The following is a 17,073-nucleotide window of genomic DNA, read 5'->3' as shown; positions in this document are numbered from 1 at the left end:
AACACTAGGTCAGAAATCAAACTTTTGAGACAGCTAAATCTAGATATCTGCTCACTGTTAGAGATTGAAAGTGGTCCAGGGAAATGGAAGGTTTGCCAGAGGAAGATCAGGTGTCTAGCCCATAGATCTTGGAAAGATTACCTGTCAGAGAGCCACTGTATCTCAGGTCTAGTTCTCTTCTTTAGAAGTTTGGATATCCAATTGCTACTACACCTTGATGTGGTTGGGTTCAAGTACCGAATCATATAAACCAAACCATCAAGAATCAAAAATATAAAAGCCATAATACTGATATATTAATTTACAGTTACAAAATACAACTTTTGGCCAGGCGGTGGCTCATGTCTGTAATCCCAGCACTTTGGGAGGCCGAGGTGGGTGGATCACTTCAGAGCAGGAGTCGAGACCAACCTGGCCAACATGGTGAAATCTGTCTCTACTAAAAATACAAAAATTACTAGGGCATGGTGGCGCATGCTGTAATCCCAGCTACTTGGGAGGCTGAGGCACAAGAATCATTTGAACCCAAGAGGCAGAGGTTGCAGTGAGCCAAGATCACACCACTGCACTCTAGCCCCAGGAGTAAATAAAATAAAACTTTTCTTTTCTTTTTTTTTGAGACGGAGTCTCGCTCTGTCGTCCAGGCTGGAGTGCAGTGACGCGGTCTCAGCTTACTGCAACCTCCGACTCCCAGGTTCAAGCAATTCTCCTGCCTCAAACTCTTGAGTATCTGGGATTACAGGCACACGCCACCACGCCCGGCTAATTTTTTTTTTTTTTTTTGTATTTTTAGTAGAGACAGTGTTTCACAGCGTTCGTCAGGCTGGTCTCGAACTCTTGACCTCATGATCCGCCCACCTCAGCCTCCCAAAGTGCTGGGATTACAGGCCTGAGCCACTGTGCCCAGCCAAAATAAAACTTTCAAACAGACTAAATACATGCTGGTTTTCCCTGATCATCACATATTCTTGTTGCCCAGTCTTCATGAAAGACAAAATCTCACATTTCCTGATATTAAAACTTATTACAAAACTATAGTAATCCAGATATTGTAGTACTAGCATAACCTCTTACTGTCATAAGAGGTTTCATGTAGACCAATAAACTAGAACTGTTAGTCCAGAAATAAACCCATAGATTTGTGGCCAGTTGATTTTGGTAAGAGCACCAGGGCATTCAATGGGGAAAAAATAGTCTCTTCAGCAGATGGTGCTGGGATAACTGCACGTTCACATGCAAAAGAATGCAGGTGGGCCAGGCACGGTGGCTTATGCTTGTAATCTCAGCTTTGGGAGGCCGAGGCAGGTGGATCACCTGAGGTCAGGAGTTCAAGACCAGCCTGACCAACATGGTGAAAACCCATCTCTACTAAATACAAAAAATTAGCTAGGGGTGGTGGCACTTTCCTGTAATCCCAGCTACTTGGGAGGCTGAGGCAGGAGAGTCGCTTGAATCCAGGAGATGGAGGTTGCAGTGAGCCGAGATCAAGCCACTGCACTCCAGCCTGGGCAACAAGAGTGAAACCCCATCTCAAAAAAGAAAAGAAAAGAAAAAAAAGAGAATAAAGGTGGAGGCCGGGCACAGTGGCTCATGCCTGTAATCCCAACAGTTTAGGAAGCTGAGGCAGGTGGATCACTTGAGGTCAGGAGTTTGAGACCAGCCTGGCCAACATGGTGAAACCCTGTTTCTACTAAAAATACAAAAAAATTAGCTGGGCATGGTGGTACGCACCTGTAATCCCAGCTATTCAGGAGGCTGAAGCAGGAGAATCGCTTGAACCCTGGAGGCAGAGGTTGAGGTGAGCCGAGATCATGACACTGAATTCCATTCTGGGCGATAGAGCGAGACTCCATCTCAAAAAAAAAAAAAAAAAAAAAGAATGAAGGTGGAAACAATAACACTGGACACTGATTTAATAGTCTGTTTCTCCAAAGAAGATAAACAAATGGCCAAGAAACACATGAAAAGATGCCCAACTCATCATTAGTCATTAGGGAAATGCAAATCAAAACCACAGTGAAATACCACTTTGTACCTACTAAGATCGCAGTAATAATAATAATAATAAAAGGAAAAGAGCATGTGTTGGTGAGGAATTAGAACCCTCATACGTTGTTGGGGGGAATGTAAAACAGTGCAGCTGCAGTGGCAAACAGTTTGGCAGATTGTATAAAAGCTAAACGTAATATTACCATATGTTAATATGGCAACTCCACTTCTAAGTATATGCCCAAAATAATTGAAAACAGGGACTCAGATACTAGTACTCCAATGCCCATTTCAGCAAATCACAATAGCCAAAAGATGGAAACTACCCCGTGTCCATCAAATGGTGAACAGCTAAAGAAAATGTGGTGCAGTAATCCCAGCACTCTGGGAAGCCGAGGCAGGCGGATCACATGACGTCAGGAGTTTGAGACCAGCCTGCCCGACATGGTGAAACCTTGTCTCTACCAAAAAATACAAAAATTAGCAGGGCATGGTAGCACATGCCTGTAGTCCCAGCTACTCAGGAGGCTGAGGTGGGAAGATCGCTTGAACGCAGGAGGTGGAAGGTGCAGTGAGCCAAGATCGCGCCACTCACTGCACTCCAGCCTGGGTGACAGAGTAAGACTCTGTCTCAAAAAAAAATAAAAATAAAAATAAATAAATAAATAAAAATAAAGAAAACATGGTATATGTTCACAATGGACTATTATTCAGCTATAAAAAGAAATGAGGTACTGATACATGCTAAAACATGGGTGAACTTTTTTGTGAGGGCTAAAGCAACTCCATCTTGAATGCTAATCCACCACGCGGACTTTTGATTAAACCCAATTCCTGCAGTGCCTCTAAGATTTCTATTTTATCTACTGTTCCTTGTGTTAACAGCATGTACTTACCATAAATCCTGCTGTTAGGCCGACAACCTTGATGTTATTATACTTACTATAAATTCTGCCCACAGGCAATTTTCTTACACATCCCTTCTGAGTCACCTATACCCTTTCCCTACCATAAGCCCTGGGTCTGGCGAGTAATGGCTCAGGGATCCACCATCTTGTCTTGCTGCCCTTAGAGACTATGGCTTCTGTTTTTAAGTCCCTATTAAATGTTTCTTTCTGAGGAGCTGGTTATATCAGCCTCCTTGGCCTCTCAGCTTTCTCAGACTTTGGGGGTAGGTTTGCTTAGCCCTGCCCACTGCAGAACACTTGTAATCATCATGCTGGGTGAAATAAGCCAGACACAAAACGATAAATACTGTATGATTCCACTTGTATGAAATGGAGTCATATGACTATTGTTATGAATTATATGAATATCTAGAATAGGCAAATTCATAAAGACAAAGTAGATTAGAGGTTTTCAGGGGCTGGGGATAGGGAGGAATGGAAAGTTACTCCTCAAATGGTTACAGATCTTCTGTTTGCGGTAACAAAGATGTTTTGGAAATAGTAGTGATTGTTGTATAACACTGTAAATATAATTAATGCCACTAAATTTTAGGGTATATGCCCTTAAAATTATTAAAATGGTCAATTTTATTGTTGGGTGCAGTGTGGTCCCAGCTACTCATGAGGCTGAGGTGAGAGGATTGCTTGAGCCTGGGAGTTCGAGTTCAGTCTAGGCAACATAGCAAGACCCCCATTTCTAAGACAAATAAATAAATGAATAAATACAAATTTTATTAAAAATGGTAAATTTTATGTTATTTATATTTTACCACAATAAAAATAAATAATTTGTCAAGTGGTAATTTTTAAATGAAGACTTTTTGTGTTTTTTAAAAGTCAGAGATGAAATAAGATAAAATAGCTTCTTGGAATCAGTAATAGAGTGCAATTTTTTGTTTTTTTAATTGAGACAGAGTCTCACTCTGTCATGTCACTGGAGTACAGCGAGGCGATCTCAGCTCACTTCAGCTTCCACCTCCTGAGCTCAAGTGTTCCTTCCACCTCAGCCTCCTGAGAACCTGGGACCACAGGTGCACACCACCACGCCCGGCTAATTTTTTTGTATTTTTGGTGGAGATGGGGTTTCGCCATGTTGCCCAGGCTGGTCTCCAACTCCCTAGCTCAAGTAATCTGCCCTCCTCAGCCTTCCAAAGTGCTGGAATTACAGGCATGAGCCACCGCGCCTGGCCTATTTTTAAATTTTAGTTTTAAGCTTGTTAAGTATAACAGCACACATTATAAAAGTGCACATCATATGATCCCAAAGCACAGTATGTTACAAACTACGTGTATAAAACAACTGTATAATTTTGTAGGTGAGCCCTGCATCTGTCTGGTGCTAGGAATCAACTCTCCTGGCTTTCCTCCTTCTTCTCTGATTCTGCTCCATCTCCAACATCTATTCTGCCTTCTAGTCAATCTTCTCTTCCCTTGAACGTTTCTGACCCTCTAGCTCCTGCTTTGGCCATCTTCTTTCTCTATATTTCTCCTTCTCTCTGTGCCACTGCATTCAAGCGTGGTTAATGTTGATGTCTCCCAAATCCGTATCTCTAGTTCATCTTTTCTTCTGAGCTCCAGAACCATATATTCAGTTATCTTGTTCCACAGCTCTGCCTGTAATAAGCATATTCCAAACAGATCTCTTTTTCTTCACCTAGTCTCACTTCCCAGAAGCTGCTTCTCTTTCCATGCTTCCTGTTTTGATGGAAGTCCACTCAGATACATGGCAGGAGCCCAGACATCATCTTTCCCTCCATCTGCCTCACCATCCACATCCATTCAATCACTAAACTCTACTTACTTGGCTCCCAAAATACAGCTACATGCTCCCCACTTTTCCCTATCCCCGCTGTCTTCACACTAGCCCACATATATGCTGGCTTGGGCTTCTATAATAACCTTCTATCTGGTTTCTTCTTTAATTCAGGGTTTATTACATGGAGTGTGAAGACCCCCCCCCCCCACACCAAAGTATGTAGGTAGAATTCAGAGGGCTCATGAACTTTGTTGAGAAAAAATATATATTTATTTTCACTAATCTATAACTAAAACTTAGTATTTCCTTTTTATGAATGTAAGCAATAAGCCACAATAATATTAGCACTACCTGTAACTTTACTAACAATAGAAATTATAAATATTTCAAGTCTGGGCACAGTGGCTCACACCTGTAATCCCAGCACTGTGGGAGGCCGAGGCAGGCGGATCACTTGAGGTCAGGAGTTCAAGACAAGCCTGGCCAACATGGTGAAACCACATCTCCACTAAAAATACAAAAATTAGCTGGGTGTGGTGGCAGGTGCCTGTAGCACCCCACCCTACTTGGGGAGCTGAGGCAGGATAATTGTTTGAATCTGGGAGGTGGAGGCAGAGGCTGTAGTGAGCCAAGATCAAGCCACTGCACTCCAGCCTGGGTGAGAGTACGACTCCATCTCAAAAAAAAGAAAGAAATTGTAAATATTTTATATCATGTTGCAGTTGTTGCAAATATCTCAAATTATCATTTATATTCATTGGTTCTCTGAAATATGGTAGTTATTGATAAGACCTACTGCTAGATCTAGATCTTCTTATGTATAAAGAAGCACATATAATATTATCTTTTTTTTTTTTTTTGGGACAGAGTTTCGCTCTTGTTGCCCAGGCTGGAGTGCAATGACGCGATCTTGGCTCATTGCAACCTCCACCTCCCAGGTTCAAGCGATTCTCCTGGCTCAGCCTCCCTAGTAGCTGGGATTACAAGCGCCCACCACAACGTCCAGCTAATATTTTGTATTTTTAGTACAGATGGGGTTTCACCACGTTGGCCAGGCTGGTCTCGAACTCCTGACCTCAGGTGATCCACCCGCCTCAGCCTCCCAAAGTGCTGGGATTACAGGCATGTAATCCCATGAGCCACCACGCCTGGCTCAATACTATCTTATGCTTTTAAAATATTTTAGGCTTGGCGCAGTGGCTCATGTCTATAATCCCAGCACTTTGGGAGGCTGAGGTGGGCAGATCAACTGAGGTCAGGAGTTCGAGACCAGCTTGGCCAACATGGTGAAACCCCATCTCTACTAAAAAAAAAATATTAAAAAAATTAGCCAGGCCTGGTGGCTGGCACCTATAATCCCAGCTACTCGGGAGGCTGAGGCAGGAGAATTGCTTGGAGGCAGAGGTTGCAGTGAGCCCAGATCGCGCCATTGCACTCCAGCCAGGGCAACAGAGTGAGACTCCATCTCAAAAAAAAAACTTCTTTTTTGAAAACTGTATTTTAAAATAATTGGATTTGTTTGTAATCCTATGTATTTTTAATAGCTTTATTGAGATACAATTGACATATCATGGCTGGACGCGGTGGCTCATGCCTGTAATCCCAGCACTTTGGGAGGCCGAGGCGGGCAGATCACGAGGTCAGGAGATCAAGACCATCCTGGCTAACACAGTGAAACCTCGTCTCTACTAAAAATACAAAAAAATTAGCTGTGCGTGGTGGCGTGCCTCTGTAGTCCCAGCTACTTGGGAGGCTGAGGCAGGACAATGGCGTGAACCCGGGAGGCAGAACTTGCAGTGAGCCAAGATCGCACCACTGCACTCCAGCCTGGGCGACAGAGCGAGACTCCGTCTCAAAAAAAAAAAAAAAAAAAAAATTGACTTATCATATAATTCCCTATTTAAAGTATATAGTTTAATGTTTCGTATATTCACAGAGTTGTACAATCATTATGACAATTAAACATTATTTTTCATCACTCCCAAAGAAACCCTGTATGCATTAGCAGTCACCTCCCATTTCTTCTCAGCTTCACCCCCTCCCTCAGACTGAGGCAACCACTAATCTACTCTGTCTCTATAGATATTTTATATAAACTGAATTATAGAATATGATACAATATATGATCTTTCGTATCTGGCTTCTTTTACTTAGCATAATATTTTCAAGGTTCATCTATGCTTTGGCATGTATCAATATTTCATTCCTTTGTATGGTCTAATATTCCATTGCATGGATATACCATATTTAACTTACACATCTTCGTTTGGTGGAAATGAAGGAAACCCTAACCCCAGTACAAATGTGACTGTATTAGGAGATACTTTTAAGGAGGTAATTAAGTTAAAATGAAGCCAGTAGGGTGTCTTTATAAGAAGAGGAGGCCCGGTCATGGTGGCTCACGCCTGTAATCCCAGCACTTTGGGAGGAGTTCAAGACCAACTGGCCAACATGGTGAAACCCCATCTCTACTAAAAACACAAAAATTAGCTGGGTGTGTTGGTGGGCGCCTGTAATCCCAGCTACTCAGGAAGCTGAGGCAGAATTGCTTGAACTGGCGGAGCAGCGGTTGCAGTGAGCAGTGCGCCGCTTCACTCCAGCCTGGGCGAAAGAGGGAGACCCCGTTTCAAAAAAAAAAAAAGAAAAAAAGTAGAGGAGATTAGGACACACAAGAAACACCAGGAATGCACTGGCACAGAGGAAAGGCCATGTGAGGACACAGAGAGAAGGTGGCCATCTGCAAGCCAAGGAGAAAGGCCTCAGAGGAAAACACACCTGCTGGTACCTTGGTCTTGGTATTCCAGCTTCCAGAACTGTGAGGAAATAACTTTCTGTTATTTAGGCCATCCAGTCTGTGACGTTTTGTTATGGCAGGTCCAGCTGACTAATACACCGTGCATTTTTACTTTCTTTATTGTGTTCTTTGAAGCACAAACGTTTTTTATTTTGATGAAGTCCAATATATTTTGCTTTCATTGTTTGTGCTTTTGGTGTCATGCCTCTCCTTTTTAAATTTTAATTTTTTTTCTTTTTTATGAGACAATGTCTTGCTCTGCCACCCAGGCTAGAGTGCAGTGGCACAATCATAGATCACTGTAACTCCAGACTCCTGGGCTACTGTGATCCTCCTGCCTCAGCCTCCCAAGTAGCTAGGTCTACAGTCATGCACCACCACACAAGGCTAATTAAAAAAAAAATTTGTAGACACAAGCTCACCATGTAGCTAAAGCTAGTCTCAAACTCCTGGCATCAAGCAATCATCCTGCTTTGGCCTCCCAATGCACTGGGATTACAGGCAGGAGATACAACACACAGCCCATTGTCATGTCTTTCCCTAACATAGGTCATGGACATTTTCTCCTACAACTTCTCTGTGTGTTCTAGTTTTACCTCTTACATTTAGGTCTATGATTCATTTTGAGTTAATTTCTGTGTATGGTGTTATGAAGGAGTCAAACTTCATTTCTTTTGCATGTGGATATCTACTTGTTCCAGGACCATTTGTTGAAAAGACTATTCTTTCCCCCGTTGAATGGTCTTGGCACCCTTGTTAAAATTCAATTGACCATAAAAAGAAAAGTTTATTTCTGGAGTCTCAGTTCTATTCCATTAATTTATGTGTCTACTCTTATCCCAAGCACCACAATGTCTTGATTACTGTAACTTTGTAAAAGTTTGAAATCAGGAACTTCTCTAAATTTGTGCTTCTATTTCAGGATTATTGTGACTTATTCTTCATCCCTTGCATTTCTACATGAATTTTAGGATCAAGTAGGATTTTGATCATGATTGTTTTGAATGTAGATCGATTTGGGGAATATTTCCATTTTAACAACATTGTCTTCCAATCCATGAACATGGTCTATTCTTCATTAATTTAGGTATTCCTTAATTTCTTTCAACAATAATTTGTAATTTTCAGGGTACTAATTTTATTTTATTTATTTATTTGAGACAAGGTCTCACTCTGTCACCTAGGCTGGAGTGCAGTGGCACGATCTTGGCTCACTGCAGCATTAACCTCCTGGGCTTAGGCAATCCTCCTGCCTCAGCCTCCTGAGTAGCTGGGACTACAGGTGCACACCACTATACCTGACTAATTTTTTTGTTTGTTTTTTTGGTAGAGACAAGGTCCCGCTATGTTGCCCAGGCTGGCCTCAAGCACCTGGGCTCAATCGGTCCTCCCAGTTGGCCTCCCAAATTGCTGGGATTACAGGCATGAACAACCATGTCCAGCCAAGAGTATGAATTTTATACTTCTTTTATTCCCAAGTATTTTCTTCTTTTTGAGGCTATTGTGAATGAAATTATTTTGCTAATTTCATTTTTTGTGTGTATTCCTACACATTTTATTTTAGGCATTTAAATAATTATTCAAGATGGGATCTGTAGGCTTTACCAGACCACCAACTATGTCCAAAGAACAAAAATAAAAATATTTTAGACCCTGCTTTATGTTGCAGCCAGAGTGATCTTGATAAAATACAAATCTGATCATGTCTCTTCACTGATTAAAATCTTTAATTGGCTGGCCATAGCAATCAGGTACAAGTCCAATTTACTTAAAATAGCTTATAAATTTCTTTATACATTTTCACTGCTTGCCTTTCTGGCTCATCTTTATACCTCTGACTCATCCTCACAATTTTTTTTTTTTTAACAGGATCCCAGCTCTGTTGCCGAGGCTGGAGTGCAGTGGCGCAATCTCGGCTCGCTGCGACCTCCCCATTTCAGGCTCAAGCAATCCTCCCGGCTCAGCTCCCTGAGTATCTGGGACTACAGGTGTGTGCCTCCATGCCCAGCTAATTCTTTTTTTTTTTGAGACAGAGTCTTGTTCTGTCACCCAGGCTGGAGTGAAGTGGCATGGTCTCGGCTCACTGCAACCTCTGTCTCCCGGTTTCAAGTGATTCTCCTGCCTCAGCCTCCTGAGTAGCTGGGATTACAGGCACGTGCTACTGCGCCCAGCTAATTTTTGTATTTTTAGTAGAGATGGGGTTTCACCATGTTGGCCAAGCTGGTCTCGAACTTCTGACCTCAGGCAATCCACCCACCTTGGCCTTCCAAAGTGCTGGGATTACAGGCATGAGCCACCATGCCCGGCTGCCCAGCTAATTCTTTATGTATTTATTGTAGAGATGGGGTTTCAACATGTTGCTCAGGCTGGTCTCAAATTCCTGGACTCAGGGGATCCACCTGCCTCAGCCTTCATCCTCACACTTGATATATTAATATAGAACATGCTGTAAGATCAGAAGCAGTTTATATAGTATGCTGTCATTTTGTAAAAATAAATAAATAAATAAATAAATAAATAAAAACAGAAGAAGGAGAAAGACATGCATACTTCAGTCATAGCAAATTACTTTCAGATTCTGGAAAATACATTGTCTCTTCTTCCCTGTCAGACCTTTTCTCATTGCACCTTGTGGCCTCACTAATGCCCACTCTGCAGGTTCCAGATTAGCTATCACTTTCTCCAGGAAGCCTTCCCTTATACTGACATCTGGTTGGTGCTCCTTGGATGGGCTCCCATGGTTCCCAGAGCTTCCACTGACAATGTGTGTGCTATAATTGCCTGTCTACTTGTTTGTATCCTCACTAGATTATAATCTTGATGAGAGCAGGGTCTCTGTCTTGTTTTCTCGGGTTTCTCTGCAGGCAGGAAAAGAACTTGGTCTGAAAGACATTTTTGTTTTTTTACTTACAGCTGTGTTGCTCAGGCTGTAGTGCAGTGGCACAATCATAATTCACTACAGCCTTGAAATCCTGGATTCAAGCAATCCTCCCCCCACAGCCTCCTGAGTAGCTAGGACTACAGGTGCGTTCCACCACACCTGGCTAATTTTTAAATTTTTTGTAGAGATGGACTCTCACTGTGTTGCCCAGGCTGGTCTTTTTTTTTTTTTTGAGACAGAGTCTCGCTCTGTCACCCAGGCTGGAGTGCAATGGAGTGATCTCGGCTCACTGCAACCTCTGCCTCCCAGGTTCAAGTGATTCTCCTGCCTCAGCCTCCTGAGTAGCTGGGATTACAGGCACGTGCCACCATGCCCGGCTAATTTTTGTATTTTTAGTAGAGACGGGGTTTCACCATGTTGGTCATGCTGGTCTTGAACTCCTGACCTCGTGATCTGCCCACCTCGGCCTCCCAAAGTGCTGGGATTACAGGCGTGAGCCACCGCGCCCGGCCCACCCAGGCTAGTCTTAAACTCCCGGCCTCAAGCAATTCTTCCACCTTGGCCTTCCAAACCCCTGAGATTCGAGGGGTGAGCTACCATGCTTGGCCCATTGTATTAGTCCATTTTCACACTGTTATAAAGAATATCTGAGACTGGAAAATTTATAAAGAAAAGAGATTTGACTCACAGTTCTGAATGGCTGGGGAGTCCTCAGGAAACGTAAAATCATGGTGGAAGGTCAAGGGGAAGCAGGGCATACATTACATGGCGGTGGTGGTGGAGGAACTGCCAAACACTTTTAAACCATCAGATCTCGTGAGAACTCGCTACTGTGAGAACAGTGGAAACTGTGAGAACATGGGGGGAAAACACCCCCATGATCTAATCACTTCCCGCCAGGTCCCTCCCTCAATACATGGGGATTACAATTTGAGATGAGATTTCGGTGGGGACACAAAACCAAAGCATATCACCCATGGAAAGACATTTCTAACTCTGATGTGTTTTAGGTCTGCTTCAGGGTCCAGATTATTCTCTAGTTTTTGGGATTTCCTCGTTTTAATATATAGCCATGCACCACATGTTTCAGTTAACAATGGACTGCATATATGATAGTGTTCAGAGCAACGGGCTATACAGTATAGCCTAGGGGTGTAGTAGGCTGTACTATATAGATTTGTGTAAGTAAAATCTATGATGTTCACACAATGATGAAATAACCTAATGATGCATTTCTCAAAATGTATTTCTGTCAATAAGTGACATGTGGTTGTATAACACCAAGCTTACTCCACACTTTAGTCTAAAAAATTGAGATTTTTTTTTTTTTTTTAAATTTTGAAACAGGGTCTCACTCTGTCGCCCAGGCTGGAGTATAGTGATGCGATCTTGGCTCACTGCAAACCTCCACCTCCTGGGTTCAAGTGATTCTCCTGCCTCAGCCTCCTGAGTAGCTGGGACTACAGGCGCATGCTACCACGCTTGGCTAATTTTTGTATTTTTAGTAGAAACGGGGTTTCACCATGTTGGCCAGGCTGGTCTTGAACTCCTGACGTCAGGTGATCCGCCCGCCTCAGCCCCCCAAAGTGTTGGGATTACAGGCGTGAGCCACTGCACCTGGCAAAAATTAGGATTTTCATGTTTATTTTACTTTATCACTTAGTTGCAGTTAGTCGTCAAGGTAAATTGAATTTTTTTCCATATTTTATTTCAAGTTATTGTCTGGCTCTACTTGTCGACACCCAGAATGACAGAATTGGAAATTACCTAAAAATCAAACAACCAGTTTTGCCAGTTACACGGCATTTTTGACAAATGGCCATTCATATTCTGCTTGAATAAAGAATCGAGTTCTTTATTTTACGCTTCCAAATTTGCTGCATATTGCTCAGATTAGAAAGGGAAAAATGATTTTTTAAGTTGAACAAGGAGGTCTCAAAAAAAAAAAGAAAGAAAAAGGAGATGGAGTCTAGGATTTAGGATACCACTGTTATGGGATCTCTGGGTTATCAACTTTTTTGGCTGGAAACCTCTGTGGCCATGGCGCCTTTGCCTGAGTTCTTGTCCTGTATCCAGGAAGAATGAGGTATGCAGACAAGTGAAAGGTAAAGAAGAGTTTTGTTTTTTGTTGTTGTTTTTTTTGAGATGGAGTCTAGCACTGTTGCCCAGGCTGGACTGCAGTGGCGCGATCTCGGCTCACTGCAACATCCGCCTCCCGGACTCAAGTGATTCTCCTGTCTCAGCCTCCAAAGTAGCTGGGATTACAGGCAGGTGCCACCACGCCTGACTAATTTTTGTATTTTTAGCAAAGATGGCGTTTCCCTATGTGGGTCAGGCTGGTCTTGAACTCCTCACCTCGTGATCCACCCGCCTTGTCCTCCCAAAGTGCTGGGATTACAGGCATGAGCCACTGTGCCTGGTCAAAGAAGAAGAGTTATATTTAGTGTTAGAACAGGTCAGAGGAGTGGGTAGCTCCTCTCTGTAGGCAGGTTGTCCTGTGGAGTGTTCAGCTCTCAGCAGAGAGGAGGCCCTGGAGAGGGTGCCTCCTCTCTGCAGGCAAGTAATTTGGACGTCTCCGCAGGTCTCTGAAGCTCTTAGCAGAGAGGGTAGCTCCTCTCTGCCGGCAGGTCGTCTCTGCAGCTCTCAATGGAGAAGGTAGTACTCTTTGCAGCTAGTTGCTCCCTCTCTGCATCCTCTATGTCACCTGGCCATCGTCTGCCCTGCTCTTGCTGAGCCCAGGGCTTTTATGGACCTCAGTGGGGAGGAGGTGCATGCTGATTGGTCCATGGGCAGCCATGGGCGGGCCTAGAAGAGTCACCACGAATTCCCACTCCCGCCAGAGAAAATGGCAGCACAGCCCCCAGCCTTCAGGTGCTCCCTGGCCTGAGGGCGAGGCCTTACTGGGGACCCTGCCCCCTTCCGCCCAGGACTCTATCTTCCTCCTGCTGCCATTCATGGTCCTGGGGCTTGGTTCCAACCCTGCTCCGAGATCAGAGTGGGTGTGGGGAGTGGAGAGAGGCCAGGCAGTGAGAGCAGACACCCCTGAGCCTGCAGGGACAGGTGGTGGGGGTTGGTGGGGGGTAGGGATGTGTCGGGTGGGGCTCCCGCTTGTCCCTGGCTCCTGCCTGTTCCTGGAGCCGGAGGCCCAGACCTGCAGCTGCGGGTGCTGCAGCTGCAGCTACACCTGGAAGGGCAGATCCTACTTGTTCCCAGCTCTCCCAAGAGTACAGGGAGGCTCGGATCCATTGCTGCATTTTGGGCGGCTGCAGCCCTGCCCAGGAGGGTGGGGCTTCTGCCTGCTCGGTGGAGTAGAGCAGGAGGCCTGGATCTGCAGGTGCGTTTTCGGCAGCTGCAGCTGCACAGGGAGCTCCCATCCCAACTTAGAAGGGGCCGGGCTCCCCCTTGCTCCATGGAGTGTGCAACCCCAGCTGCACTTCCCTGCTGCAGCCGGCGTGATGGTAGCAGCCCCTGCCATCACCACCGTACACATGAGGTCATTGACCCGTCTGGATTTAGGTTTACCATCTGTTACTTGCGGAATTTCAGACTATGCTCCAATCCACCTACCTTTTCATTATTTGTTTTACACAAGGGATACTGTTGATGTCCTCTACTAGAAAATATGCAGATATGAGCCACACCATCTATTGGAAAAATCAGGTTAGCAAAGATTTCATGAAACAGTTGCATTTGATATTGCTTTTTCAATTTTAAGACTTCCTTTGTTTGTATTTTAAACAGTAGAACAATGATAAGCCTTAACGTAAATAAAAACACGATAATACTGATAGGCTATTTGTGATAATTCAGCATTCAGGTTAGGCCCAGGTCTAGCACAGGAGGCAATAAAGTAGTAAAAATATTGTGCTTTGCAATAAAACAAATATTGTTGCATCAGAACAAGTTAGAATAATTAAGAATTTTATATAACAGTTCGTTTATTTGTTTTTGTTTTTGTTTTTTTGGATGGAGTCTTGCTCTGTCACCCAGGCTGGAGTTCAGTGGCAGGATCTCAGCTCACTGCAAGCTCCACCTCCCGGGTTCATGCCATTCTCCTGCCTCAGCCTCCCGAGTAGCTGGGATTACAGGCGCCCACCACCATGCCCGGCTAATTTTTGTATTTTCTTTAGTAGAGATGGGGTTTCACCCTGTCAGCCAGGATGGTCTGGATCTCCTGACCTCGTGATCCGGCTGCCTCGGCCTCCCAAAGTGCTGGGATTACAGGCGTGAGCCACCGCACCCAGCCTGTTTTGTTTTGTTTTTTTTTGAAATGGAGTTTCGCTCTTGTTGCCCAGGCTCGAGTGCAATGGCATAGTCTTGGCTCACTGCAACCTCCGCCTCCTGAGTTCAAGCAATTCTCCTGCCTCAGCCTCCCAAGTAGCTGGGATTACAGGCATGTGCCACCACACCCAGCTAATTTTGTTTTTTTAGTAGAGACGGGGTTTCTCCATGTTGGTCAGGCTGGTCTCAAACTCCCAACCTCAGGTGATCCACCTGCCACCCAAAGTTTTGGGATTACAGGCATAAGCCACCGCACCCGGCCTATATAACAGTTTTCAACTTATTTTTTAATGCTGTACTTGAGGGAAAGATGGGTTTAATTTCAAGAGAATGAAAAGGTCTTGTAATTTAGAAATATATAAATTCTTCTTGGAGTAACAAGTTATAATATACTTTTAAATTTTAGCCATGGTTAGGATTTTTTTATTTTGTTTTATTTATTTATTTATTTTGAGACGGACTCTCATCTGTCAAGTCACCCAGGCTGGAGTGCAGTGGCGTGATCTCTGCTCACTGCAACCTCTGCCTCCAAGGTTTAAGCGATTCTCCTGCCTCAGGCTCCCAAGTAGCTGGGATTATAGGTGCTCGCCACTACGCCAACCTAATTTTTTGTATTTTTTTTTTTTTAGTAGAGAGGGGGTTTCACCATGTTGGCCAGGCTGGTCTTGAACCCCTAACCTCATGATTCACCCACCTCAGCCTCCCAAAGTGCTGGGATTACAGGCGTGAGCCACTGCCCCTGGCCGATTAGGATTATTTTTATGTATAGTAGGAAAATACTCAAAGACAATAAAGCTTTATCTCTCAAAGCAAAATGTTCTTTCATATAAACAAATATCTAGTAAACAAACATTTATACTACAGAATCTTATGCTGCCATTAAAAAGAATGAGATGGATCTGTGTGTATTTATATAAAAAGATGTTCCCACAGAATTTGTTGTTATATGGATTGTGTGGCATCTGAAATCCCTTTGTATGCTTGGACAACCTTGTATTGGGCGTGTCTCCTTGTGACCAGGGATTATCTGCAGAAGGAAAAGCAGGCACTCCTGGCAGAGAGGCTGTGGAAATGAGTTGTGAACACGTGTGGTCTTTTCCAGGATTTTGAATCTCAACAAGTGACACAAAGAAGCAAGGTATTTAGAATTCATTCTGGTGGTGGCAGCAGTAGTAACATCCATGTTCTGGAGCTGCATTAGAAGTGTATTAACAAATTAACAATAATTTTTTTTTTTTTTTTTTTTTGGAGACAGAGTCTCACTCTGTTGCCCAGGCTATAGTGCAGTGGCACAATCTCAGCTCACTACAACCTACACCTCCCAGGTTCAAGCGATTCTCCTGCCTCAGCGCCCCTAGTAGCTGAGATTACAGGCATGTGCCACCACACCCAACTAGATTTTGTATTTTTAGTATAGATGGGGTTTCACCATGTTGGCCAGGCTGGTCTCGAACCACTGACCTCAAGTGATCATCCACACACCTTGGCCTCCCAAAGTGCTGGGATTATAGGCGTGAACCACCATGCCTGGCCAATTAACAAGAATCTTTAATGTGACTTTTTACTGATGTTTCAAATTGGTATTAAAGTTGGTTCAAAATCCAAAGCATATAAAGAATATACAGTAAAAGGTCTCTCCTGTCCATCTTATCCCTGTTTTTCCTTTTTTTTTTTAGACGGAGTCTCACTCTGTTGTCCAGGCTGGAGTACAGTGGCGTGATCTCAGCTCACTGCAACCTCTACCTCCCTGGTTCAAGCGACTCTTCTGCCTCAGCCTCCTGAGTAGCTGGGACTACAGGCACACACCATCACACCCAGCTACTTTTTCTATTTTTAGTAGAGATGGGGTTTCTGGCCAGGCTGGTCTCAAACTCCTGACCTCGTGATCCACCTGCCTCGGCCTCCCAAAGTGCTGGGATTACAGGTGTGAGCCACCGTGCCTGGTCCCCCGTTTCTTAAACACCTTATGATAGTTAATATTACGCATCAGCTTAATTGAATTAAGGAATACCTAGAGTACTGGTAAAGCATTATTTCTGGGTGTTTCCAGAGGAGATTGGCAGCTAAATCTGATTGAATTGGAAGATCTCCCCTCAATGTGGGCAGACACAGTCCAATTAGCCAGATGGGAAAAAAAGGCAGAAGAAGGGCAATTTCCGCTCTCTGCTAAAGCTGAGATGCTCTGCTCTGGTCCTTGGACATCAGAACTCCAGGCTCTTTGGACTCCAGGACTGATGCAGGCAGTCCCCTGCCTTCTCAGGCTGAGAGTTGAGTTACACCATCAGTTCCCCTGGTTTGAGACATTTAGACTTGGACTGAGCCACATGACCAGGATCCCAGACTTTCCAGCTGCAGTGGGACTTCACAGCCTCCATAATCTCATGAGCCAGTTCCCCTAATAAGGGGAGTTCCCTAATAAGCCAGT

Source organism: Homo sapiens, chromosome 13 (genome assembly GCF_000001405.40).
Source record: "Homo sapiens chromosome 13, GRCh38.p14 Primary Assembly".
NCBI classification, from domain to species: Eukaryota; Metazoa; Chordata; class Mammalia; order Primates; family Hominidae; genus Homo; species Homo sapiens.
Note: the sequence above shows the minus strand (reverse complement) of the source record.